Source organism: Homo sapiens, chromosome 12 (assembly GCF_000001405.40).
Source record: "Homo sapiens chromosome 12, GRCh38.p14 Primary Assembly".
NCBI classification, from domain to species: Eukaryota; Metazoa; Chordata; class Mammalia; order Primates; family Hominidae; genus Homo; species Homo sapiens.
The window spans coordinates 96,671,737-96,699,520 of record NC_000012.12 but is presented as its reverse complement, the minus strand read 5'-3'; the positions used below and the strand labels follow the sequence as shown (position 1 = coordinate 96,699,520).

The following is a 27,784-nucleotide window of genomic DNA, read 5'->3' as shown; positions in this document are numbered from 1 at the left end:
CAACTACTAATTTTCTTTTATTTTTAACTTTTATTTTAAGTTCAGGGTACCTGTGCAGGTTTGTTACATAGGTAAATTGCATGTCATAGGGGTTTGGTATACAGATTATTTCATCACCCAGGTAATAAGTATGAGGCAGGAGAATAGGGACTGAAGGAAGGGAATCTAAGGCTGTCTCACGCGAACTTCCTTGAACTAAATCGAAAGGAAAACCCTAACTTTCCACGCCTGAGTAACAAAAGGACCAGAGGTTACTCCCTTTGGAAACCCCCACCTTTTCTGCGGGGCAGATAGGAAATTGGCTGTCCGCAACCAATCAGACTGATTGCAGGCGAGTCTTCGTTTGCATAGAAGTATAACTTTGTTACTTCACCCTAGCCTCTGATTGGTTGCCTTTTGCAACCAATCAGATGTTTGCATAGGAGAGTAACCTTTTTAACTTACTTCAGTCTCTGGTTGGCTGCTTTCTGCAACCAATCAGACTGATTGTGGGCTACCACTTCATTTACATGAGGTGAGCATGAAGTGGCCATGGGAATAGGGGACATTTGGACCCAAGAAGATTCCAGGGAATATTTGGACCCAAGAAGATTCTGTATCCAGACCCTTGAGCCGCTGCTCACACCCACTCCCGCACTGTGGAGTGTACTTTCATTTTCAATAAACCTCTGCTTTCATTCTTTTCTTGTTTCATTCTTTCTTGGCTTTGCTGGGCGTTTTGTCCAGTTCTTTGTTCAAAACGCCAAGAACCTGAACAACTTGCAGTCACAGCCCTCTACTGGTGACAAGTATAGTACCCAATTGTTATTTTTTTGATCCTCACCTCCTCTCACCCTGCACCCTCAAGCAGGCCCTGGCGTCTATTGTTCCCTTCTTTGTGTCCATGTGTCCTTAATATTTAGTTCCTGCTTATAAGTGAGAACATGTGGTATTTGGTTTTCTGTTCCTGGGTTAGTCTGCTTAGGATAATGGCCTCCAGCTCAGCTCCATGCAGGTTGCTGCAAAGGACATGATCTCATTCTTTTTTATGACTGCATATTATTCCATGGTGTATATAGACCACATTTTATCTAGTCTAACAATGATAGGCATTTAGGTTTATTTCATGTCTTTGCTATTGTGAATAGTGCTACAATGAACAATTTTCTTATCCATAATTAATGGCCACTGTTAATTTTAAATACATATATTTTAAAATATTAATCAATTTATAGCGATATATTTTATATGGCTTAATTTGAATATAATCCAGCAGGATCATCAATCAGAAAATTATAGAAAAAGGAGTTCTTACTTAAATTTGTTCAACATATTTATGGAGCACCACATATGTACCAAGCCCTCTTGGAGGTTATGTTCCATTGGGATGCATGTTTATCTAAGTTTCAGTGACACATGAAGATATACACAACATACAAAGGGATACAGGGTACTCACAAATGCTATTTTCAAGACTGTGGTCAGGAAGGAATTCTCTGTGAAGGAAACCTTCAAGAGAAGATTTGGGAATGGCATTAAAGGAGACAGACATGAAAATCTGCTAAGGGACCTTAGTGTAGAGGCCATACGGCAGAACTCAGGGAGCAAGGGGAGGAGGTCAGGAGGTGAATGTGAATGCTGGCCAAGAAAGGTCAAGTAGAACCTGAAGACCAGAGTAGGGATTTTGCATGTTATTCTCTGTGTGGTAAGGAGTTATTGGAGAGTTTTAAACAGGACAGGGCCCTAACCTGACTTAAATTGTGAAAGCTATCTAGTGACTTTGTAGAGAATAGAGAAGGGTAAATGTGGAAGCAGAGAATAAAGTATGAAATTAGATTAACATGTAAATACATAACATAGGAAAAGAAAACTCCATTTATCCTCAGCATGTCCACCCATCATACTCTCTGTTTCCCATTTATTATTATCTTAGGAATCTCAAGAGTGTGTGAATTTTAAAGAAATAAAAAGGTGGGCTAGTGGGAAATTGGATACATAAGTAACATGAAAATAAAATATAAAAATCAGGAAAATATTATTAATAAGAAAGAGAAAATAGCTTGTCTATTGAGTTGCATACTTTGGTCTTTGCCTAAGACACCTTGGGGTCTAATCTCCCCAGTGCCATATAATATCAAAGGAGGTTCAGGGGAGACACATAAACTCTTTCAGGTTTCTAGATGACCATTTTTCTCATTACCCCTAGGAGGAAACACTTCCCCATATCTGTATGTGGTTAGTTTCCTTGAGTCTTGACTATAAGATTTCTGAACATGGACTCTTTCTGGCTTCAGTTTATCATACCAATCTGACCATTTGAAAAATCAATTGGGTAAATAATGGACATATATTTTCAGAGGTGACCAACACTGCAAACACAAACAAGCCAGACAGCAAAAAGAACTACCCATAAATCAACCATTCACTCACACAAATATAGGATCATTGGTACCCTTTCTAGGTTTGATGTGTTGACAGTGACAAATCTTTCAAGATGTTGGCAGTTCTAAAGTGAAGCCAGGCCAGCTGATCATGAAGAGGTCTTAAAGCTTTCCCTGAAAGACACTAGGGCACTATAGAAACTTCAGAGTGTGATCTATTATTGCTCTTTGATTTGTCAGGAAGCATCATTGCATGTTATTTCCTGACTATGACTTTTCTCTCTTCCAACTCCCTGACCCCAGTTTACTTCAGAAAGGTCAGGCAAACTCTGCTCACACAGGCTGTCATTCCTTCCTCTGTATAATCCATCATTTGTCCTCTTTCACTGCTTCTGTCAAAACCCTAGTCTGGTTTTTCAATCCTACTATGCCAATAAGATCCCACTGCTTACTCTACTCCTGGCACTGCTACCAGATACCAGATATGATCATGTCATTCTCCTGATCCAATTTCTATAATTAATTAATTATAGAAAATAATAAGATTCTATATAAATTCTATAATTAATTCTCCAACCCAGTTCTCCAGAATTGAGTCCACAGTTCTTCTCTGGTTTTTATGCTACTCTAGGACAAAAACAGCTACCAAGTGCTAACAATATGATTAAAAAAAAAGTCATCTAGCCATTTTGTTCCAGATTATGTCCTTTGGTGCCCCTCTAGATCTCCTCTTGTTGAGTTATGATCATTGCAACCCTTTCATGCTTCTTGCCTCTTAAGGACAGACCAGACTGTACATGTTACACAATTCAGATATTGCAATCTCTTCATTTCTCTCATGGCTCCACCTCCAAATTACATCTCTTCAGAGTTGGGAATTCAAGACTAGGTCCCTGGTATTCTCAATGTCATCGACCTCTGGTATACTCATGTTATCTTCTACAACCTGCCTACCCAAAACCTCCACTCTAGTGTAACTGAACCACCCCACCCCCTAAACAAGTCAATATTTTCTCACCTATCTTTCACACTGACTGCCAAGAAATGTTCCCTTTTTCCTCTCTCCTGCTCCATGAATTCTACTCTTTTCAAGTCTAAATCTTACCTACTTATGAAACCTAAAGATTCAAAGCCATTTTTTCCTCTTTCGAACTCCTGGAGAGTGTTCATCACACTCATTTGGAAATGACCGAGTGGCAGGTACCAACATTATTGTCTTGGGTATACATTCTGTCTTTCTTCTCAGTTTTCACTTCCTTATAAGCAAGGACCATTGGTTACATTTCTTTGACTGGAGTTACTAACATGGTGCTTTTAAATAGAAAGTACTCAATAAATGTTGTTTTAGAGTTACATCAATAAATATCTACCAAGTATTTTCTAGGTGAGTTCCCACTAAACACTATAGAGAGTGGACAGTAGGCACTTGATAAATGCCTGCAGATTTTAAATTCAATAGTTAATTACTGAATTTCAACTATGTGAATGTGTTACTCAAGATACTGCAGGGAATTAAAAGATGAATAAGATACAGATCCTAGCCTCAAGAATTTTGCAATATTGAAGAGAACATTATCTTTTGTAAAAAAGAGAGAAAAGTTACATGGAGTTTCTTTTAAAAGTGTTGGAATTCAAAAGCAAGAGAACTCATAAGAGTTCAGTAACTCAGAGAGGGTGATTCAGAAATTTTCATGATCAGTAACAAATTATTTATTCCCAGGTTAAAATTATTAATAATCAGCACTAGAATTCTTAATTTCTTTACTTAGAAATAGCATGCAACAAACTATTTGGGTCTGAAAATATAGGCCCCAGGGCAGGGTTTAGACACGAAGCGAAATTCAAATGGAAGTTTAATTTTCCCTTATTAGAAAATGGGATAAATTTGGGGACAAAACGCAGAGAGTATTTCCACAAAAGCAGAAGTATGAATGAAGCCAGTGGTGTGTTGGAGCCCACTCACTCCAATTTGCAAGAGCTGATTGTGCACATCTTGTCCCCGATTCCATCGTTAGAGATGTCTTGTCGGTAGCTTGAAGTCAGACATAGTGGGAGTATTCACACCATGGATGGAGATTGAAAATGCCACAAATGAAACTTTTGAGGTGTTTTTTTGTTTTTTTTTGTTTTTGTTTTTTTTGACACGGAGTCTCGCCCTGTCGCCCAGGCTGGAGTGCAGTGGTGCAATCTCAGCTCACTGCAACCTCCTCCTTCCAGTTTCAAGTGATTCTCCTGCGTCAGCCTCCAGAGTAGCTGGGATTTCAGGCACCTGCCACCACATCTGGCCAATTTTTTATCTTTAGTAGAGATGGGGTTTCACCATGTTGGCCAGGCTGGTCTCGAACTCCTGACCTGGTGATCCGCCCACCCCGGCCTCCCAAAGTGCTGGGATTACAGGCGTGAGACATCATGCCTGGCCTTGAGGTTTTTTTTTTCAGAGCCAATTGTGACATTTACCAGCCCATAGCTGATTACTCCATTCAGTTGGAGGCAAAAGCATGAGATGATGGCCAAGAAAGATTTTAAGCTCAAGAAAGCCAAATGTTCTATCTTCAATTGTTTGTTTTGCCTCAACTTAAATTTCTCTGTCTTCCTAATTTTTAGTAAAGTCCACTATAGAAAAAAGGGTGAATATATGTTGTGTGTGTGTGTGTGCGCGTGTGTGTGTGTGCGTAAGATATAAAATAGAGTTGAATTCTATATTAGAGTTGAGGAAGTACAGAACTGGGAGCATATTTGTTGGATATTGAGATTATCCACGTACAAAACAAATTCAACAAAAGTGGGAGCTGGCAACATGGGTGATTAGGAAAGAGAGCAGAGAGAACAAGGTGCTTCCCACTCCATGTGGTGTTCAAGCCAATCAATCACACATGAATCTCAAAGGCAGAGAACCTTAACTGACTTCTGGATTATAAGATTTTTTGTAATTTAGCATCTATCTGATCTTGTTAATTCAATTACCTGTGCATTGAAAAATTCTTGTGTACCATGATATCCATAAAGGCTCTTAGGAATAAATTCACAGAAGCTCAGAAATCTGGTTCAGTTGGTCTTCACCAGGAAGCCAGTCTCTCAGAAGTGGTGATTTCCAGGCCAGTTGGTGTTGGGTGAGCCTTATTTCCATGTGCAGCTGTTCCTCACTTTACTGTGGCCCAAGCATAAAATAATCTACACCTTTCTGACTGGCTCTTTCTCATACTTTATTATAATAATGGGTAAGTTATTTCTTACATCAGTGTAATGCCATGTTATTATCAGCTTGTTATTATAAGTCCTAGAATCAAATTAATACATGACAATATCCTTAATAGTTCAAGAATATCAAATGTCTTAAAAGCTTGTAACATACCTTGAGGATTCTTGCTTCTAGATTTCTTGTTATGTCTTGACAAATTCCAGAAACAAAATATTGATACAATGCAAGGAGAGGCAGAACCTATCAGGAGAAAAACACTCTTTGTTTCAAAATATATTTTATCAAACTAATAACCTAATAATCAAATTTAGCCAAATATTAAATATAGGATATGTTATATACTGATTTGCTTTCCATGCTAGGAAACTATACTGTTGAAAATAAGTGAAATAATCTATCTAGCACATGCTTCATAAGTTTATCGGAACTTTAAGATGCTATCAGAGACTTACAGTTCCCAGTAGATGCCATTTGGTACCCCAAACCTAGGTTGCACATCTCTTTAAGCAGGAAGAGGTTAAAATCTAATCAATTATCTTCCTTGAAAATGATTAACTCAACATAAATATATGAATCACTGTGGCCTGTGGAAAAATTCTAGCAAATGAGCTACCAAATAAATGGAAAATTTAAAGCAAAGGAACTCAATCTCTGCTCCCTAACTGGATCCTACTTATTCATTTCAATGCCAGCTGCTTTTTGTCTTCAATTAGAATTTGTCTATCAACAAAAAATATTTATAACATGCCTATTATGTGTTAGGCACCGTTGAATGAGAACAAAATCTAACAAGTCCCTGCCTTCACATAGCGTATATTCTACTGGTTAAAACCCAAGCTTACTCTTCTCATAATATTTTTATTTTCCTAGAATTCACCCCAAGTTCAATTGCTCTTGAAGTCCCATGGATATATGTGAAGGCTTATAGACCATCAATATTTCAAATGGCCCAACCACGATCCATCCAGAGAAAGATGTGGAGAGGACAGTTTTGCCTAACACTGGAACAGCTCCTGACCTCAAATCAAACCTGAAGCTCAGCTCCTGCAACTGTAGCCTTCCCTGCCAAAGGAAGATGGAGTGGAAGGGAGATTGGGATCCCCATTAGTTAGCAAACTATTTCCCATAGCTCCACAGCTCTGGGTCACATAGCAAATTTTATATTCCACAGAAGTCCCCTTAGCCACTGGGCTTCTTCTGGAGAAGGTTAATGTAATACAAAATGGAAACTGTTTACTTCTTGCAATTTCACCTGGGGAACCTCTAATTGTCAGTCAACTGGCAGCTGCTAATAGCAACAGCTTTTTAAAAGGATTAGAACTGGTCTTAAATGATTTCAAACATAATACAATACATTTTTCTATAACTATGCCCTACAAACATAACACGATACCTTTTTCCACAATTAATGCAGCACAAAACATTAAAAGTTGGCGATTACCTTTGAGATTTAGTTTCTTTTCTTTAGTAAGAAATAAAAACACACCATTTTATTGCTGCCAATTGCTCAATTATTCAGAAAAACATTCTCAATTTCTTCAGCTTTAGAGAAAAAAAAAACCTCATTTCTTTTCCAGCACAGTGATATGTATTATATACGAATATGACTAGGCAGCTAAAGGTTACCCAGGGGATAGAACTATTTCTTCAACCCAGAAATGAATCCCTTTAACAGTGAGAGGGGCACCATTTTGTTATTTTTAAAAAATAAACAATATCTCACCAAGTCTGCCAAGTGTTAAATGCACTTATCAATCTCTTTAATACATGGTTTTATAAGTTAACAATTCATATCAGGGGGCAATAAATATTTTCAGTATAAAGAGAGAGTTGAATTCAGAAGAACAAATATACCGAGAGAATAGAAAAAAATATGTGGGGGAAAAAAGTAAGAAGGTATGAAAATCATGGAGGAAAGGGAAAAAAGCAGAAAAGGAGAAAGAATAGATGTAAAGAAGCAAACAAAGGAGAAAAAGAGATGCGAAAAAATAAGGAAAGAACATAAAGAAAGAAAAAAGATGAAATAATGGAGGAAAATATAAAATGGCCAACAATTCTAATAGAACATACTAATTTTTTTAATGCAACCAGCTTCAAATTTATGACATACACTGTGATTTCTTTCCCCAAAGGAGAGGAGAGCTGTACTTGGATTTTTTATTTCCTAGGACATTAAGAAATGTCTGTCTTTTACCTCATACTTAGAACCTATTTTTCTCTTAGATGCACCCTTGACAGAGAAAAGACAAGAGACATAAAGATAAACTTATCTCAATAAAGAAACACTCTCACAGTTTTGGGATTGATATAACCTGAACAACTTAATGCAGTGGCTTACAAGTACACTAGATTTCTGTGTTTGAGATCAGTGATGCATTCTGATCAATTTCACCAACTAACTTAAGAAAAAAATATAAAGTAACACAGTAAAAGGAGAAAAAGTCAAATAGACTGCTTTTGTATCCAAAATGCAAAGAAAGAATATTAATTAATACATTTTAGTTTGAAGTGTAAGTAAGAATCCCACATATATAGAGTTTAAAAGTTAAACAGTAACTGACCAAAAGAACATTAGCAAAATTTTAAAAGTATGAGGTAAGTGGAGCAAAATATCCCAGTGATATATAATTTTTATTTTACAAATTACTTACTATTAGGTTTTGCCTAACAAAGTGCAGTTCACGTATAATGTAATACAGACTTGCAATTACAGAGCAAATGTCAGCCCTGTATCTATCTGAGAAGAGTTCAATGCCTGGGAGAAGCTGAGTGATTTCATATTGAGCATAGCAACGTTCAGCTTTGGGATGTGGAAGTGTTGTTCTAAGCAAACCCTGAAAATGAAAAAAAGTGAAATATAAAGAGCTATAGATAGCATTTTCAATAATGAAACAAAAAAGATAAATACATGTATTGCTTTATAAAATGCTTAGTATATGCCTAGCACACTGTACTTTGTAATAAATGGTACTTATCATTTATATTATCATCATTACAGGTTCCAAATGCTTTTATCACTCCAGATGGGCTTTTTAAATTCCATGGTAGTTGGATACTTCTTATTTTCAAAGAAATTATCATTATATTAAATTATGTTTTGTTGAGGGTCAATCATATGTTAAGCACTGCTGGTAAATTCTTTATAAACATTATCTCATTTAATGTTATTTTAACCTGCTCTTAGAAGGATTATTATGTCACAAATGATATAATTGAGGCTTAAACAACTTATCTGAAGTCACACAGCTAACGATGGCAGAAAGGAGATTCAAAGTCATGTCTATTTAGCTAAAAAACAAACAAACAAACAAACAAATAAAAAAAAACTATGTTCTTTCCACTATACCAAGCTATAAGTAGAGGAAATGACTACTTGTTTCAGAAGTCTCAATCAGGCAGAGGTAATTCCAAACTTTTACCTGCTTAAATGAAAAGATTATTGTTTAATTTGACCACTAGTTTTTGGTAATTTATGTAACCAACATTACACTAGATGTTGGAGAAACAAGATGAACACACAAAACACATTTTTCATTTAAGGGTGCTTCTTTTGTTATTTTAACAATTAGAATTTCTTAATGACAAATGCATCATGAAATTATTTTAATGTATATATCAGAAAGAATTTCAATCCAATGGCTTATTAAGGTCATGAGATATCCTATTCTAAAATACTTTGTAGTTGTTGAAATTTTTACTATCACAAATTTGTTTTAAAACCATAAAAAGAATTAATAGGCTTTTAAAATAAATCCCACCAGCTAATTTTTATTTTAGGTATAGTATTACTAAGAAATAATACACATATTGTCCACATTAAGCAGAAAGTTAAATATTTGTTAAAACACATATTTTCTAAAACATAAACAGCATTATCTTCAAGAACAAGGAGTATCAGAAAGTAAAGAATGCGACGTAAGAAGTCAGAGTCGGGTCATTTCCTTTACACCCTTGCCTCCTGTACTTCTTCCCTTTGAAGCCCAGGCAAGAGGCGTAAGGAACATAAGAAAATTGAAAAGTCTGGCCTTCCATTCAGAGAAGGCCTTCCTGAAGAACTCACTTATTTAGATTTCATAAGCTGTGAGACTTCTCTGATACACAGAACAAGAGTGCCCATCCTTCAAAGTAAATAGAACCTTCAGTAGATTACAAAGGCCCCTGGTTACATTTTGGAATTTCAAAATGTCTTGTATTTCAAATAAAAGCTCCTTTCTTCTTCAGTGAAGGCAAACCAAAATTCTGAGAACTGTAAGCATACCTCTCCTGTAGTCTTCAAGTTATTTTTCACCTTTATCATAAGATAGATTTTATATCATATAACCAAGCAAAACTGAATTTAGAGATGAGGTAACCTAAGGCAACTATCTGAAGTCAGACTGGCTTCATACTGATTACTAGTAACATGATCTTCCTAATGACAGGAGACTCAGTTTCCCCATCTGTAAAACTCCTTCTTCTGCAGTGTAAAGGAGAAAACTGACTCTGTTAAATATTAAAGGTGGGCCAGGCATGGTAGCTCACGCCTATAATCCCAGCACTTTGGGAGGCCAAGACGGGTGGATCACCTGAGGTCAGGAGTTTGAGACCAGCCTGGCCAACATGGTAAACCCTAGCTCTACTAAAAATACAAGAAATTAGCTGGGTGTGGTGGTGCGCGCCTGTAGTCCCAGCCACTTATGAGGCTGAGGCACAAGAATTGCTTGAACCCGGGAGGCAGAGGTCACAGTGAGCTGAGATCACACCACTGCACTCCAGCCTGGCTGACAGAGTGAGACTCCGTCTCAAAAAAAGAAAAAAAAAAATTAAAGGTGAAAGTCTCACAGGGGTTCAGCCAGCAAGAGAAAGACGGGCTTGTCATATTTAATCAAGATTCATGTTATTTTGCTACCTGTGAGTTTTCTGAATATGATAAACTTTTTTTTACTGATCCAATGAATGGTTGTGCTACAATGGAAAAACATACATACATAGAGTGTTACCTGAAAGAGTAACGCAGACAAAATGCAACAGTCAGTTTTCTTTTCAACATTCAATGACTTAATAAATCTAAGTAAGTATAAGAAAAAAAAATTGATTAGTAGAAATTTTCCAAAAACATTTTGATATAAATGTCTTTACATATATATCTAGAACACAAAAAGTATAAGAAAAATGCATACATATAAATATATAAGAAAATAGAAGGAAAATATATTAAAGAAGATAAAAAATCCCCTATAATCCTACTGCCTAAATATGATTACTAGTAACATTTTAGTCAATTTCCTTATATGTACTTTTTCTGTATATAATTATACACACGGAGAAACATATACATACATATTAAGACTAGAATTATGCAATACATACTACTTTATAAACAAATTTTTCATTCACAGACATAACGAACTATATCATTATTCTAAAGAACTTTAATGTTTTATCATACAGATGTGCCATAACATAAAAATATGAATCTCCACTTTGGCATTTTCCAATGCTGAGGTAAACATTGTTATGCCTACACTTTTGAGCACTTATCCTATTGGTTCCACTGAATGAACCCCTGGACGTGGAAGTTTTTGGTAAAAGGGGGCGCACAGTAAAGGCTTTTGATGAGTGCGGTTAAATAATTCCCCCTAAAGACTGAAGCATTGTATTTTCTCTCTAGCTGTTTATTATGGAGCCATTCACAACATTAAGTATCTCCACCAAACATTAATGTCTCTCCATTTACAACTCTTTCATTTTATGTCCCTTAGAAGAAGAGTTTGAGTGTTCTATATATGAGTCTTAAAATTCACATTTGCAACTACAAACCACATTACCTTCTCCTAAGTCTTTCTTAGATAAAACCAGTCAGGTTCACTACATTAACAACAATGTTAATGTAGTCTACCTCAGTTCAGCTTCACTGTGTGGATCTTCAAGTGTGGTATTTTACAGGGCGGGGAGAAGAGTTTCCTCTACTCAGGGAGTCTAGGAAAACAGCCAAAGCCCCCGTAGAATGACATCTCCTATGGCAGTCAGACTTCTGGCTGGGAAACCAGGAAATGACTTTCTGTTTGTTGAAAATCACTTGGTAATAACTTCAGAAGCTCAGAGAAGCGGAGGTGCCCTCTGGCAGGAAGGCTGTAGCTGTTCCTTTCCAAGCTGTTCCTTTCCTTGGCTTTTCCATTCCCAATTGCCAAGCTCCAATAAGTCACAAGCTCAGATTTTGTTGAGAGAGAGAAAATTGTATGTGTGTGTGTGCGTGTGTGTGTTCTATCCCAGGAGCACAAAAAAATCAAACTTGACAGAGGTCTAAATCTTTGACGTTTAATACTTTTAAAGCAGTACTTTCTTACTTCCCTGACTGAAGATGCTAATCTGAAAGCAATGTGATCACTACCTAGGAACAGTTAAGTTTTAAGTGTGCTCTACAGCTTAAAACACTATGCAGGTTGTTGCTCACCACCTCCGACAGGTAAGCTAAAGAGGTAACTGTAACTGGAGAGATGAAGGAAACCTATACCTCTAATCCCTCCATACTTTTCAAATTTCTCATGTTAATCAGAAATTTGAAATACTTCAGATATTTGTGAGTGCTAGCTATGCGTAAGCCATTCTTGAAGACATTCACATGTGTTATGTGTGGTAGGCTAAATAATGGTCCCCCAAAGATATTCATGCCCTAATCTCCAGAACCTATGAATATGTGACCTTACAGGGCAACAAAGTCTTCGCAGATGTGATTAAATTAAGGCCACTGAGATAAGGAAGATTATCCTGGATCGTCACGATGGCCCTTATAAGAGAAAGGCAGGAGGGTCAGAGACAGAGAAGGAGATGTGAAGATGGAAGAAAATATGAGAGACAGACAGAGAGAGGCAGGTGTGGGGGAAAGATGCTCAGCTGTTGGTCTTGAAGACAGAAGGTGGGGCCATGCGCCAAGGAATGCAAGAGACCTCAAGAAGCTGGAAAAGATAAGGAAGCAGCTTCTCACCAGGAGCCTCCAGAGGAAGCACAGCCCTGATGACACACTTATTTTATGATTTCTGAACTCTATAACTGTAAAATAATAAACCTGTTTTGTTTTAAGCCGCTAGGTTTAGGGTAATTTGTTACAGCAGCAAAAAGGACACTAATACAGTATGTATTATGGGCTAAATTCTATCCCCTAGAAATTCATATGTTGAAGTCCTAACTCTTAGTGATATAGTTTGAATATACGTCCCCACCAAATCTCATGCTAAACTGTTATCCCCAGTATTGGAGGTGGGGCCTGACAGGAGGTGTTAGGATCATGGTGGTGGATCCCTCATGAATGGCTTAGTGCCATCCCCTTGGTGATGAGTGAGTTCACATCACATCTGGTTGTTTAAAAGAGTGTGGCACCTCCCACTCTTTCTCGCTCCCATTCTTGCCATGTGAGATGCGGGCTCCCATATTCAAATATGGCCTTCTGTCATAATTGAAAGCTTCCTGAGGCCTCCCCAGAAACCCAGCAGATGCTGGTACCATGCTCTCTGTAGAGCCTGCAGAACCACGAACCAATTAAACCTCTTTTCTTTACAAATTACTCAGTCTTGGGTATTTCTTTGTAGCAAAGCAAGAACAGCCTAACATACCCAGTAACCTCAGATTGTGAACATGCTTGGAGACAGGGCATTGAAAGAGGTAAGTAACTAAGTGAAAATGAGGCCACAGAGGTGGGCCCTAATCCAATATGACTGGTATCCATATAAGAAGAGGAGATTAGGATATTGACATGCTGAGGAAAGACCACTGTGGACACAGTGACCTTTCTACAAGCCAAGAAGAGAGGCTTCAGAAGAAACCAATTAACCAACACCTTGTTCTCCAACTTCTAGCCTTCAGAATCATGAGATAACAAAGTTGTTGTTTAAGCCACCCAGTCTGTGGTACTTTGTTATGATAGCCCTAGCAAACTGATGCAGTATAGCATGTAATTTTTACCACCTTGGCTTAGAGATGAGGACACTGAGGCTCAGAAGGAATGTGAAACTTGTTGAAAGTAACTGGTTTCTAGTACACTTTTGAATGAGGCCCATGCCTGACTGCCTCCACACTGTTTTCCTGCTTCCTCACCAACTGCTCATTCATTTGACCACGCAACAAGTCATTGTTGAGCCAGACGCCGTGGCTCATGCCTGTAATCCCAGCACTTTGGGAAGCTGAGGTGGGCAGATCACCAGAAGTCAGGAGTTCCAGACCAGCCTGGCCAACATGGTGAAATCCTGTCTCTACTAAAAATACAAAAGAATTATCTGGGCATGGTGGTGGCCACCTGTAATCCCAGCTACTCGGGAGGCTGAGGCAGGAGAATCTCGAACCCAGGAGACGGAGGTTGCAGTGAGCTGAGATCAAGCCACTGCACTCCAGCCAGGGCAACAGAGTGAGACTCCGTCTCAAAAAAAAAAACCCAAACAACAACAAAAAAAACAAGTAGTTATTGAATGCCAGCTGCATATCTGGCACTTGGGATCCATGAGTAAGCAAAGCAAACACCTGGGCCCGGGTGACACTGATATTTTGGGGCAAGAGTTGTGTTACAGGAAGAAGAGATAATCATAAGCAATAAACATCACAAATAAGTAAATAAACTGTAAGGCCCTGTATGATATGGACATAACCTCCCAGAAATCCAGTGTGCATGAGGCATAGCACTTTGTATGGCACAGGAGGGCACCCCACAAGGAAGCTGTTAGCTAGTACGGGGATCCTTCCATCCTCACACTCACTGTGCTATCTTTGCTGATATGACTGCTCCTTGCAAACACCCCCAGATGCCAACTCTTGACAGAAACTCCTCACTGTAGTCTTTGAAACCCGGAGGTGAATGACTGTTGGTGACATTGGTGAGTGAGGGGCCAAATTCTTTCCACGTGTGTAGCACGTCTGGTTTTCTGAATATGTCATCAAGAGCTTGACACCAACACTTAAAAGCAGCCCTAAAACAGAGACAAAGCATCAAGCAGTAAGTTTTCTGAGACCCATTATTAAATCTATCTTCCAGAAGGGAAAGCAAATACACCGAAGCAACGTCAATTAACATACGTATAACTATAATACATTCACTGTTCTTAATGGTTTCTCTCAGGTAGCATTTGATGAATAAAATGTAGCAATGTAGTATTGTTGAAGAACTAAAATTTATGAAAGACAATGTTTTTTCATTAAAAACTTCTTCAAACAAGCAAATAAAAAACCTTTGCCCTTGTTCTACAGACTTCTAAAAATCTACCTTTTCTTTTCTGCGAAGATGAGAAGACTTCCAAGTGAATGCAACGCCTGAACTTTAAGACTTCTTTGATTGCTGGCTTGGAGAACATCTATATTTTTAATCAAGTAAAAGAACAAATGTCAGTTCCTAGAAAAATATTTTTTTATATTTGCAAGAATTTTTTAAACTGCACTATTCCTTAACTGTGTAGATTGCAATAAGCAAACTGCAAGTTAACAGCGCCTTCAAATGTCACACGATATATATACAAAGAGAGCGAGCAAACGTTCTGTTTGATTACAGAGTGAAAGACTGGCTCTAACAGATAGTAATAATGGGGCATCATGGGAATAAAACTCAGACAGGTAGAGACAGGAGAAGAGAAACTTAGAAACGGCATGCAAGGGAGAATGGCTGGGTATGTATAGGAATGATGGGCATGACTGGAGTATAGTTTTCTGGAGAGGGTGAACTGAGTCTGAAGTGGGAGGCAGTGGTCAGATTCTGAGGGCCTCTGACTGCCACTTGGAGAAATGTGGATGTTATCCTATAGCAGATGGAAAGGCTCAAAGGGTTTGTTTTTTAGCAGACATGTGACAAGATCACCACATATCAGATTTCTCCTTTTACCTGAAGGCAGAAAATATCTTTAATATCACATAATTGGACAGGCAAGGTAGCTCATGCCTATAATCCTAGCACTTTGGGAGGCCAAACCGGGCAGATCACCTGAGGTCAGAAGTTCAAGACCAGCCTGGTCAACATGGTGAAACCCCGTCTCTACTAAAAATACAAAAATTACCCAAGTGTGATGGCACATGCCTGTAATCCCAGCTACTTGGTAGGCCAAGGCAAAAGAATTGCTTGAACCCGGGAGGTGGAGGTTGCAGTGAGCCAAGATCGTGCCACTGTACTCCAGCCTGGGCAACAGAGTGAGACTCCATCTCAAAAAAAAACAACAACAAAATCACACAATTTTTTTTTTCTAATGAATGCATGCATTCTGGGATGTGTAGCCAAAAACCCCAACCAACATGGCAGTGGTTTCTAATGAGGACAATGCTGTTCTCTAGAGGCTATTTTAGAAATGTGAGAAAGGGTTTTGCTAGATGTCACAATGGGGGCATCTCTTGGTAACTCATAGGTTAAGACCAAAGATGTCAGATGGCCTGCAAGGCACAGAAACTTCCCCTACAGTGAAGGAAAAGATGATAAGCCTGTTTATAACTATCTGAATTCACATCGAACTTCGTTTTCCACATAAAAAGGGTATTTCTGCATGATTTCTAAATGTACATGATTTCTGAATTTTCCAGACATTGCAACCACTGTAGTACTTTGTTTTGCTCAGGACTTTACCAAGATTAATTTGCCATTTTAGAAAATCATGTCACAAAACTTAACCATGTTGATAGTATTTGAGTCACCAATACAACATACCTGTCTCTGTCTGCATGTGTAACTGTCACATTCATGGTGATTCCATATCCAGGATATAAGCATCTGATTATTTCTTTACAGCTTCTAATGCCTAAGCATTTACATACCAACAAACTGATTCTTTTATTATAAAGTGATGCTATTTCTCCCCTATTTTTATATTTAGAGCTTCATAATAATTTGTTTCAAAATAATGTGTATAAGAAGAATATATTAAATACAAATTTTATTTCAGGAAATAAAAGGGGCATCATAAAATGTCTGTTAGGAAAAAAGAGAACATTGGGTCTATCGTATGGGTTAAGAATATACTACTGAAGCTGTAGAAAAGCAAATCAAGGGAAAGACAAGGAAAATGGAATTAGATGGGACCAGAAAAAAAGAACATCATCTCCATCCCCACAAAGAGTTCACAGCTCCAATGAAAGAGGGATAAAGAGAAGGGTGGCCTAGAATCTCACAATAGTGATGGACAAGCTAAGAAAATGGGTAAACAGAGGAGGCTGGAAGCTTCTTCTGTCTCCAGGCTGTTCTGTCACTGCTGCAGGGATATAGGTTCTTTTATCTTTCTTTTAAAAGTAAGATTTCAGGACCAGATGCAATCTCAGCATTAATGCAGAAGATCATATTGAAAATGGAGACATAGCCGGGTACAGTGGCTCACTCCTGTACCAGCGTTTTGGGAGGCTCAGGTGGGCTTATAGCTTGAGCCCAAGAGTTCAAGATCAGTCTGGGCAACATGGCAAAACTCTATCTCTACAAAAAATATAAAAATTAGTCAGGTGTGGTGGTGTGAGCCTGTGGTCCCAGCTGCTTGGGAGACTGAAGTGGGAGGATGGATTGAGCCCAGAAGGTTGAGGCTGTGATCACACAGTGAGCTGTGATGGCACCACTGCACTCCAGCCTGGATGACAAAATGAGACCTCGTCTCAAAAAAAAAAAAATTTAAAGAAAATGAGTACATAATGGCTAACTCTTACCAATAGTTTGGTGATAAGAAGAAATTACAAGTCCAAGTTGTGAATATGGAAGTTTGCTTTTCTCCACGGAACTAAAAACTCTGAAGTGCTCCTGAGAAAGGTCAGGGGGTATTGACATATGCATCTCCTCTGTCCCCAGGCAAAATTCCACCTTTCCAGAAGTACATTTTGAATCATTTATTTCTCCTTTCTCTCCTAAATTCATGAAAAATAATAATAATAAATCAATTTAAAATGTAGAAAGAAGGGAAGTTGGGAGGGAAGGTAGAGAAAATGGAAAGCAAAAAGAAAGGAAATATTTTGTATATAGCTGAGACATTTTTGCAGTTTGAGGGACACTATTTCCTTAAACTTAGTATCCAGGATCATAACTGAAGACCCTAGGTATGTGTGGATAGGCTCCATGTCTGCGTTATCTCATCACAAGCACTACAGAGGGGCCGGGCACAATGGCTCACACCTATAATCCCAGCACTTTGGGAGGCAGAGGCGGGTGGATCACCTGAGGTCAGGAGTTTGAGATCAGCCTGGCCAACATGGTGAAACCTCGTCTCTACTAAAAATAAATTAGCCGGGCGTGGTGGCGCATGTCTATAGTCCCAGCTACTCGGGAGGCTGAGGCAGGAGAATCGCTTGAACCAGGAGGCAGAGGCTGAGGCAGGAGAATCGCTTGAACCCAGAAGGCAGAGTTTGCAGTAAGCCAAGATCACGCCACTGCACTCCAGCCTGGGCAAGACAGCAAGACTCCATCCAAAAAAAAAAGCACTACAGAGGACTGTCAGCCAGAAAGCAAATATTGAGATAAAGCTTTGCTTCTTGTGGGGACTGGTGGAAGTTGCATAGTTTGAGTTTGCCTTTTTTAAATAGCTTCCAACAGTAAGGTGTTAGTGTGCCTCTGGGCCAGAAACCTCTGGGATAGAAGCAACACACAGGTAGTTCTGGCCTGAGACAAAAAAAAAAAAAAAAGGAAAAACCTTGTCTCTTTATAAGATCAGAGAAGACATAAGAGAAAAATCTATATTCTAGGGGAAGTAGTTAAAAGTAATAGAGAAAGAAGCTAGTATAGATTTTGAAGTCTACAGCCTGAGGACTAGAGATAAACTACTGAAAATATTTTGGTACCAGGTGAGATTCAGAGCGAGTTGGTATAAACCATTCCTAGGAATTGCATTTGCCTTTTTATTTATGCCCTTACCCACTTTTTGTGTGTGTGTGTGGGGGGGTGCTTTTCTGTTTTGTTTTGTTCTGTTTCATTTTGAGACAGTCTCGCTTTGTCACCAGGCTGGAGTGCAGTGGCACAATCTCGGCTCACTGCAACCTCTGCCCCGCCGGTTCAAGTGATTCTCATGCCTCAGCCTCCTGAGTAGCTGGAATTACAGGTGCACGCCACCACACCGGTTAATTTTTGTATTTTTAGTAGAGACAGGGTTTCACTATGTTGGCCAGGCTGGTCTCTAACTCCTAACCTCAAATGATCTGCCCTCCTTGGCCTCCCAAAGTGCTGGGATTACAGGCGTGAGCCACGGCGCCCAGTCAGCCTTACCCATTGTTAATGTATGGAGCAATTAAAAGAAGCCAAACAGGATATGGAGAACTAATTTAACATAATGTGAGTCTGCAGACAATATAACCAAAAACTATGGATACATATCATAGAAAGTGTGGGGGGTGGGCAACAACAACAAACAAATAAATATGTAAATAAATAAAACTCTGTCTGCATTTGTAAAAACAATTGGTCAAATTTCTAAAAGATCATTTCAGTGGAAATTAGCATTTTAATTAAGTATAAGTTTAAATCTGTTTTTAATAACTTTATATTATTTTACATGTATTTGTCTATTATTTAAATTTATTCTTATTATTCTGACCAATTTGAATAGCAAGAATCATAAATATAAAACAGGATTTTTAAAAATTTTAAATAAGTTAAGTATAGATAGTTCAGGATTTTTCCAGCCTAAATTTGAATGTACTCTTCTCTGAGGTTACCATTTAATCACTCAAAGCCCAGCTTTGCTTGAATTCACAAGCAGATAGATGTTACAAGAGAAAACAAATAAATGCAATGCAACCAACAATAGTGAATATCTTGCTTTAAGCTAAAATAAAAGCCCTAAGAGCAAAATCTATAGTATTAATAAGAAATCTTGTTGATGCTTGCTTTAAAAGGTACCCATTTCTTTGCCACTGATAAAGTAGTGTTTTGGCAAAAGGTTCTAGTTAACTCAGTGTGATTCAATCCGTCTACTTATGAAGTAAAACAAGACCATAGTGCCACACCTAAAGAAAACTGTAAGAAGAACATAAATGTACAGAATCAAAAATTAATGAATATTGTCACATCTAATACACTCAAGAGAGTTTGATAGTTTCACAGAAAGCATAAAAGCGAGTGAGTGAGAAAGTGCATTGGTTAAAGTGTAAGACACAGAATAGATCCACTGGACAAGAGGAAAGTGAAAGGCATCAGGGAGTGTTGCATGTACACGGGGAGGGAAGAATGAGAGGGCAGAAGAGGGACATCTGCAGGGTGGTCACCCCACATAAAGAAAGATTCAGAGATACAGAACATGCATTTTACCTTGTGTCTGTGCAAGAAATAATGAAAGCAACTTTCTGCTGTGTCGGATTGATCTGTTATGGTATTTGGATTTTTCCAGTGTCTCTCTAAAACACCTCAAGGTGTCTGTCACGTCCACGGGCACGCAGACAAGCGCTTTGGCTCGGCTGTATTCTGAAAGGAAAGAAAAGCGGAATATTGGGGATGAAATGCTGCACCAAGCCAAGGTAAGAGCCAGCAAGTTTATAATTCAGAGAATTTCTTGGTCCCAACCTAAAGCCGCTAAATTCAAAGCCCCCAGATCTGCAGCAGGTGTTTCAACATTCAGATCAATTTTTTTTTTCTTTTAGTATACCAGAAGGTCCTTTTAAAAAAAAAAAAAGCTTGGAAAACTTTTGATTCTTATGAAATGCAAATAACTTTAGATCTTGCCAATTTTCCCCATGAAGCCTCCTTTTTCTTTTGCTGATCATAAAAAATGAAATAATCTACTCCTTTTCAGCAGCCTCTTCAAAGCAAAGGTGCCTTGGGAAAGAGACAAAAAGAAGAAACAAAGGAAGAAATAAAGTTGCTTGGAGATGGGCATCTGCTCTCGGAAGGGAAGGAAAAGACAGATTCCTAATACTGAAAGGTGCAGAGGAAAGGAAGAGGGGGACCCAGGAGTGGGTATAGAACTAACTAACTGTCCTGAAAAGTGCCCAGAAAGGGGAGATAGTGGGAGAGAGTTGCTTCGAGGTCTCTGAAGAGTGAGTGAGGGCCTGGGACTTCAGCTGCAGCATTGCTGCATACATCATGAAGCAGGACCAAGAGAGAGGAATCACAGTTTGCAGGACTGAAAACAAAAGAATGTATTTCTTCAACAAGTTGAACAAGTGGAAGCCCCCCTGTAAAATCTAAGGTCTTAACAGTATAGCAACTTACATGGTAAGTTGGAAGAGGTTAAGAGGCATGGTCTTTGCCCTCAAGAAATTCACTATCTAGCTGAAGGGATGGGACACTCCAACACTGGAGTAATAAAGTCACATTTGCAGGGAATATTTGGTTACATGCCAAAATAAGGGAAAGATGGAAGACAGAGATCAGTGTAGGCAGGAAAAGGTGAGCAACAAAGACCTTGTGGAAGAGAAGATAGGCCAGCTGTGCCTTCGAGGATAGGGAAAACTTGATTAGGACAAAAGAGACAAGTGGCTCTAGATAGTTAGAATAAGAACAGGAATAGCTAGGCAGGGTGAGGCAGCTCACACCTGTAATCCCAGAACTTTGGGAGGCCGTGGCAGGTGGATCACTTGAGGTTAGGAGTTTGAGACCATCCTGGCCAACACGGTGAAACCCCGTCTCTACTAAAAATACAAAAATTAGCTAGGCATGATGATGCATGCCTGTAATCCCAGCAACTGAAGAGGCTGAGGCAGGGGAAATCACTTGAACCTGGGAGGTGGAGGTTGCAGTGAACCAAGATTGCGCCACTGCACTCCAGCCTGGGTGACTCCGTCTCAGAAAAAAATTAATTAAAAATACAAAAACGAAGGGGTATAGAAGTTAACCACTTCTAAAGGTTAATCTCAGTTGATCCTCACAGCACCTTAAAAATGGTCAGGAGTAGAAATCACTGACGCTTTACAAAGGAGGAAAAGTGAAGTTGAGGGGTATGAACTTGTTTGAAGCCCTTAAGAAGAGATGAATGGAAGAACCGGTGTTCAAGTCCAGTGCCTTCCCCAGATGATTCACCAAAGGACAACAAATCTTGGGTAACAGACAATGACCCAGATTTGTAACCCAGATTTGGGCACAGAGATGCCTCGAGAATAGGATGGGAATGAGCCTAAAGAAAGTTAATAAGGGAAGAAACCTGGAGTCATTATGAGCCCAGGGAGCAGGGAGGTCCTGATGGAATAAGTAACACAGGGTTACTTTCTGTGGCCACAGAGACAGCATCTTTCAACATACCCTAATGTCCAGAAATCCTGGAGGCTTCAGTCAAACCAGGGACATGGCCGCATTGACAGAAGTAATTGTTTCCCCTGCAAATTCAGTCTTGACACAATTCCCTATCACACATTTAAGAGAATCAAATACTTAGGCCAAAGTGGTTCTTGTGAACTCCCTGGAAGCTCTCATTCTTCTTCCTTACCAGTTTCAGTCTCCTGTCTGCTCTGCCCTGTCCCCACCATCTCCCTCCTTAGTGTCCCTCTCTGCTAAGCCATGCCCAGTCTTGCATGGTCCCAGGCAGGCAGACCTCCTACTCCTCATGCCCCCACCCTCATCCACAACACCCCGAAGATTGTAGGTTTCTGCTCTGTTTCTCTATTTTTCTTAGAAGAATTCATGAGCTTGGCTTTTATCTTTTTCTCCTTAGAGAATGAGATCAGGAAAAGAAGTTAAGCAAATATCTCAGTCAGTTGAAACTGCTATGAGAAATTACCATAGACTGGGTGGATTATAAACAACAGAAATTTATTTCTCATCAGGTGCTGTGGCTCATGCCTGTAATCCCAGCACTTTGGGAGGATGAGGCAGGGAGGATCCCTTGAAGCCAGGAGTTCAAGACAGGCCTGGACAATAAAGCAAGACCCTGTCTCTACAAAAAAAATAAAATAAAATAAGTTAGCTGGGTGCAGGGGCATGTGCCTGTAGTCCTAGCTACTTGGGAGGCTGAAGTGGGAGGATCACCTGAGCCCAGGAGTTCCAGGCTACAGTGAGCTATGATCATGCTATTGCACTCCAGCCTGGGTGACAGAGTGAGACCTTGTCTCAAAAAAAAGAAAAGAAAAGAAATTTATTTTGCACAGATATTTGGGGCTAGAAGTCTGAGATCAGGAGACCAGAATGGTAGATTCTGGTGAGGGCCCTCTCCCTGGCTCGCAGACGGTTACCTTCTCATTGGTCCTCCCTCCCATGATAGAAGCGGGCTACAGAGCAACCTGGGGTCTCTTTTGTAAAGACACCAAGCTGGGTGTGGTGGTTCATGCCTATAATCTCAGCTCTTTGGGAGGCCAAGGCAGATGGATCACCTCAGGTCAGGAGACAAGGTGAAACCCCATCTCTACTAAAAATACAAAAATTAGCCAGGTCTTGTGGCAGGCGCCTGTAGTCCCAGCTACTCAGGAGGCTGAGGCAGGAGAATCGCTTGAACCCCAGAGGTGGAGGTTGCAGTGAGCTGAGATTGTGCCGCTGCACTCCAGCCTGAGCGACGGAATGAAACTCCATCTCAAAAAAAATAACTAAATAAAAGTAAAGACACCAATGCCATTCATAAGGGCTCCACCCTCATGACCTAATTTATCCTCCAAAGGACCCACCTCCTAAGATCATCATATTAGGGGTGAGGATTTTAACATTTAGGTGGGGGGGACCACAAATATTCAGCCCATAACAGCAAGCAAATGAAAGGAGGAAAGCTGGAAGCCCCCACATATAATAATATGAGATAGTTACCTTCTCTAAGCCATAGTTTTAAATATCTGTTAAAACTGGGATGATAATTCTTCCTTCATTAACTTTTCTCAGGCTTGTCCCTGTCCTATTTATTTCCAGAGCATCCCTCTCACCAAAATCAGGATGGCTCAGAGGGTTACTATTTTAACCTGTGTGTGGAGGTGCAGAGTGTCTAGCACAGAGCCTGTCATGGAGTAAGCATTCAGCAGATGAAGACTCACATCATGACTACTGGTCATGTATCTTTTTTTATTATACTTTAAGTTTTAGGGTACACGTGTACAACATGCAGGTTTGTTACATATGTATACATGTGCCATGGTGGTGTGCTGCACCCACTAACTCGTCATTTAGCATTAGGTATATCTCCTAATGCTATCCCTCCCCTGCCCCCCACCCCAAAACAGGCCTCGGTGTGTGATGTTCCCCTTCCTGGGTCCATGTATTCTCATCCTTCAATTCCCACCTGTGAGTGAGAATATGCAGTGTTTGGTTTTTTGTCCTTGCGATAGTTTGCTGAGAATGATGGTTTCCAGCTTCATCCATGTCCCTACAAGGGACATGAACTCATCATTTTTTATGGCTGCATAGTATTCCATGGTGTATATGTGCCACATTTTCTTAATCCAGTCTATCATTGTTGGATATTTGGCTTGGTTCCAAGTCTTTGCTATTGTGAATAGTGCTGCGATAAACATACTTATGCATGTGTCTTTATAGCAGCATGATTTATAATCCTTTGGGTATATACCCAGTAATGGGATGGCTGGGTCAAATGGTATTTCTAGTTCTAGATCCCTAAGGAATCGCCACACTGACTTCCACAATGGTTGAACTAGTTTACTTTCCCACCAACAGTGTAAAAGTGTTCCTATTTCTCCACATCCTCTCCAGCACCTGTCGTTTCCTGACTTTTTAATGATCGCCATTCTAACTGGTGTGAGATGGTATCTCATTGTGGTTTTGATTTGCACTTCTCTGATGGCCAGTGATGATGAGCATTTTTTCATGTGTCTTTTGGCTGCATAAATATCTTTTTTTGAGAAGTGTCTGTTCATATCCTTTGCCAACTTGTTGATGGGGTTGTTTGTTTTTTTCTTGTAAATTTGTTTGAGTTCATTGTAGATTCTGGATATTGGCCCTTTGTCAGATGAGTAGATTGCAAAAATTTTCTCCCATTCTGTAGGTTGCCTGTTCACTCTGATGGTAGTTTCTTTTGCTGTGCAGAAGCTCTTTAGTTTAATTAGATCCCATTTGTCAATTTTGGCTTTTGTTGCCATTGCTTTTGGTGTTTTAGACATGAAGTCCTTGCCCATGCCTATGTCCTGAATGGTATTGCCTAGGTTTTCTTCTAGGGTTTTTATGGTTTTAGGTCTAAAATTTAAGTCTTTAATCCATCTCGAATTAATTTTTGTATAAGGTGTAAGGAAGGGATCCAGTTTCAGCTTTCTACATATGGCTAGCCAGTTTTCCCAGCACCATTTATTAAATAGGTATAAATTGAGTGCTCACAAGTACTAGGCACTGTGCCTGGCACCAAAGGGAGACACAAGTGAACAAAACAGACAGTCTCTATTCTCACCAAGCTTACATTCTAGAATAAAATCTGAAAATTTTTATTTATAACAAGAACAGTCTGAATAAAATCATCCCACTACTTTTTTATCTGGCTGATAAATAATTCCTCTTTGTGTTCTTCCTAAACTATATTTCACTTTCTTTTTCTCCCCTTTTTTCAAGCCCTGCAGATCTTTTTCCTGGTTGTCTAATTAGGGTTCTGTTGGTGGTGGTGTGGCTGTCTACATGAGATAAATGATGCAAAGCAATGAGGAGGCGGCATTAGCTTCAGGGCCCTTATCTTGACAGCTCTGCCTCAAGGGGTTTCCTCTCTGAAAACGTCCATGGATAATTTAAGAAGCTATTCCAAAGGCACTAGTAGCCTCAACAGTTTGAAATAGGTAAGAAAGAAGAAGGAGGAGAAGAAGCAAAAAAAAAAAAAAAAGAAAAACATTGTGTCTTTCATTGTACCACTCTAGAAATGAAAGCTGAAATGCCAATGACTCCTGAGAAAGGGGTCCACCACGGAAGGATCCCAGCAAGTGATCTGAAATTTGGGCTGCTTCCTACACTCGAGGCCACATCAATCCAAATGCCCAAAGGCACTAATCAAACACACCTGCCAAAGGGCTGAAAATTCCAACACACCTGAGGACTGAATAACTCTACCAGAGAACTTAAACACCAGTAAGGTCAAAACTCAAGAGAGTGATCCCAGGCAGAATGCAAAAACAGCTTCAATAAAAGGCATATCCATGGAGTTATCTCCCCTATGGAGCTTAACAAGCAGGCAAGTTACTCACCCATACAAGAATATCTATAAAGTGAGGTGTTCTCACTTCTCCAAATCCTACAGAGACTATACCAAATTACATATGCATTATTAAATAGTTGAAGGGAGAATAGGATGCTGTTAAATAATGAGTACACCAAATGTTCCTAGGCACTGGAGCATTGCAATATCTATTCTGAAGAATTAAATGTATCGCATCACCACTAAATGCCATTATGCCGAAAGAAAATCTATGATGGTCTAAAGCAGCGATCTGGTGTGGAAACCATCATGAGTACTCTGTCTTTTAAAAGAATTGCAAACATATCAGGGTGATGACATACATAAGACCCAACATGCTTATAAATATGTTGATGATCTGAGTTCAGTATACTGGAAAAATTCAGCATTCTAAAACTTTGCCAAATAAACCCAAGAGCATAGACCAAAAAACATTCCCAATAACAGAGGTCCTAAAATCTTAGAGAGAGCTACAAGTTGGATGCTAACCTTTTAATGATAACAATTCCATGTAAAACCTATAATTAATATACAGGATCATCTAAAAATTACCACACTATCACAGTAAGTCAGAATAAAGTGTCTGTCTTCAGTGACCACTGAAATACAGCAAACTTCTTCTTGAATGCTGTAAATTTAGAGGCAATTCCAATCTGAAAGGGAGCAACGGAGAAGAGGCCAGGTAGCACAGTGGAGCACTCAAGGATTGAGTAATTAAAGCAGGGTTTGAATCACAGGCCCACCACTTACTAGTAATGTTTAATTTTCTCATGTGCAATATAAGCATAATAATATCTACCTCCTTTGACTGTAAAAATTAAAGAAGCTAAATATAGTTCCAGCTCAATAAATTATTACTGTCATTACAGTATTTAGAAAATTTTATCTATTCAAATATTCCTGTTCTAATGACTGCTCAAACTGTCTGTGCCTCTACCGCCATTGAGAATCAACCCAAAGGATTACTGTAGCCTGACTGCACTTCCCTTCCCTTCTGTCCCACTGCCACCCTCTTGCCTTTCCAAATGTAACTTTAACAGGAGGCAAACAAAGTGCTTTTCTGATATATTGCACCTATCATCAGTAAACATCTACAGGTACACAGGTCTAGAATTTTACTAGATATGTTTTTCTTATCCCTTTGATGCTAGTCATCATTTTGATAACAACCATTTTTCACATATTTTCTCACATTTGTAGCAACTCTTTTTAAGATGGAAGGGATAACATAAATCACATTTTGAGTTATGGATCCCAAAGTAGGAGAATTCCCCAGGTTTCACAGACAAGCTCAATAAAAGAACACACCCAGGAAGAACTGTACTCTGAAAAAAACTCATCACACATGATTGACCATAAGAAGGTGGTCTTCCCATTGTTTCTGACTATGAGGGGTAATCTGATTATCATTGGCAGTAACACCTACAAATTCACGGTCACCAATCTCACTCATTGGACCCTCTAAATTACTCTACAACCCTTCTCCCTTCCTTTCTCCTATGACTTTATCAGTCAGCCCACTCTTTCATTCCTTCTGAAATCTCCAACCCAATCAATATTGGCTATACTCGCAGCCCCTTGCTTCATTGAGAAAACTTCCAGTACCCAATGAGAATGCTTTCCATCTCTACCTTTACCACCTACACACTTCCCTGCTTGGGTTTATTCTTTCCTTTCTTTCTGCCTTAGCAGAAAAGATGTCTCACCCTCCTGTCTAAGCATAATCCCCCTGTATCCCACTCTCTCTCTCTGCCTTTTGTCTCAAGGTCCTTGCTCTATCCAATACTTTTCTCTCCTATCTATAAGCTCTCCCTCTTTACTGGCTTTTTCTAGTTAATATGTAAATATCCTTTTTTTTCCTTGTATTAAAAAGACATACAAACAAAACAAAGCCCTCCTGAGCCACCACCCCCAGCTCTACATTTCCTGCCAGTTCCTGACGGTGCTAAGTTACTTGAAAAGCAATTCTCTATTCAATTTCTTTCTTTCTTTTTCTTTCTTTCTTTCTCTCTCTCTCTCTTTCTTTCTTTCTCTTTCCTTCTCTCTCTCTCTCTCTCTCTTTTTTGAGATAAGAGTTTCACTCTTGTCATGCAGGCTGGAGTGCAATGGCACGATCTTGGCTCACTGCAACCTCCACCTCCTGGGTTCAAGTGATTCTCCTTCCTCAGCCTCCCGAGTAGCTGGGATTACAGGCGCCTGCCACCACGCCCAGCTAAGTTTTATATTTTTAGTAGAGACGGGGTTTCACCGTG

General features: G+C 39.3%; 1 protein-coding gene across 2 annotated transcripts in view; it reads right to left on the bottom strand.

Annotated features, from left to right (window-relative positions):
- Window positions 1-27,784, bottom strand: part of CFAP54 (cilia and flagella associated protein 54) — a 385,979-nt gene that overhangs the window by 176,035 nt on the left and 182,160 nt on the right. Inside the window, exons 40-46 of one of the 2 annotated variants that reach the window (NM_001367885.1) lie at window positions 19,769-19,921; window positions 17,185-17,379; window positions 14,786-14,873; window positions 14,283-14,492; window positions 10,539-10,605; window positions 8,211-8,393; window positions 5,713-5,799 (exon numbers count right to left, since the gene is read on the bottom strand). In NM_001367885.1, coding sequence (NP_001354814.1) covers window positions 5,713-5,799; window positions 8,211-8,393; window positions 10,539-10,605; window positions 14,283-14,492; window positions 14,786-14,873; window positions 17,185-17,379; window positions 19,769-19,921 — 983 coding nt within the window. The remainder of the gene's footprint in view (window positions 1-5,712; window positions 5,800-8,210; window positions 8,394-10,538; window positions 10,606-14,282; window positions 14,493-14,785; window positions 14,874-17,184; window positions 17,380-19,768; window positions 19,922-27,784) is intronic. The other variant, NM_001306084.2, reaches the window with a different exon arrangement.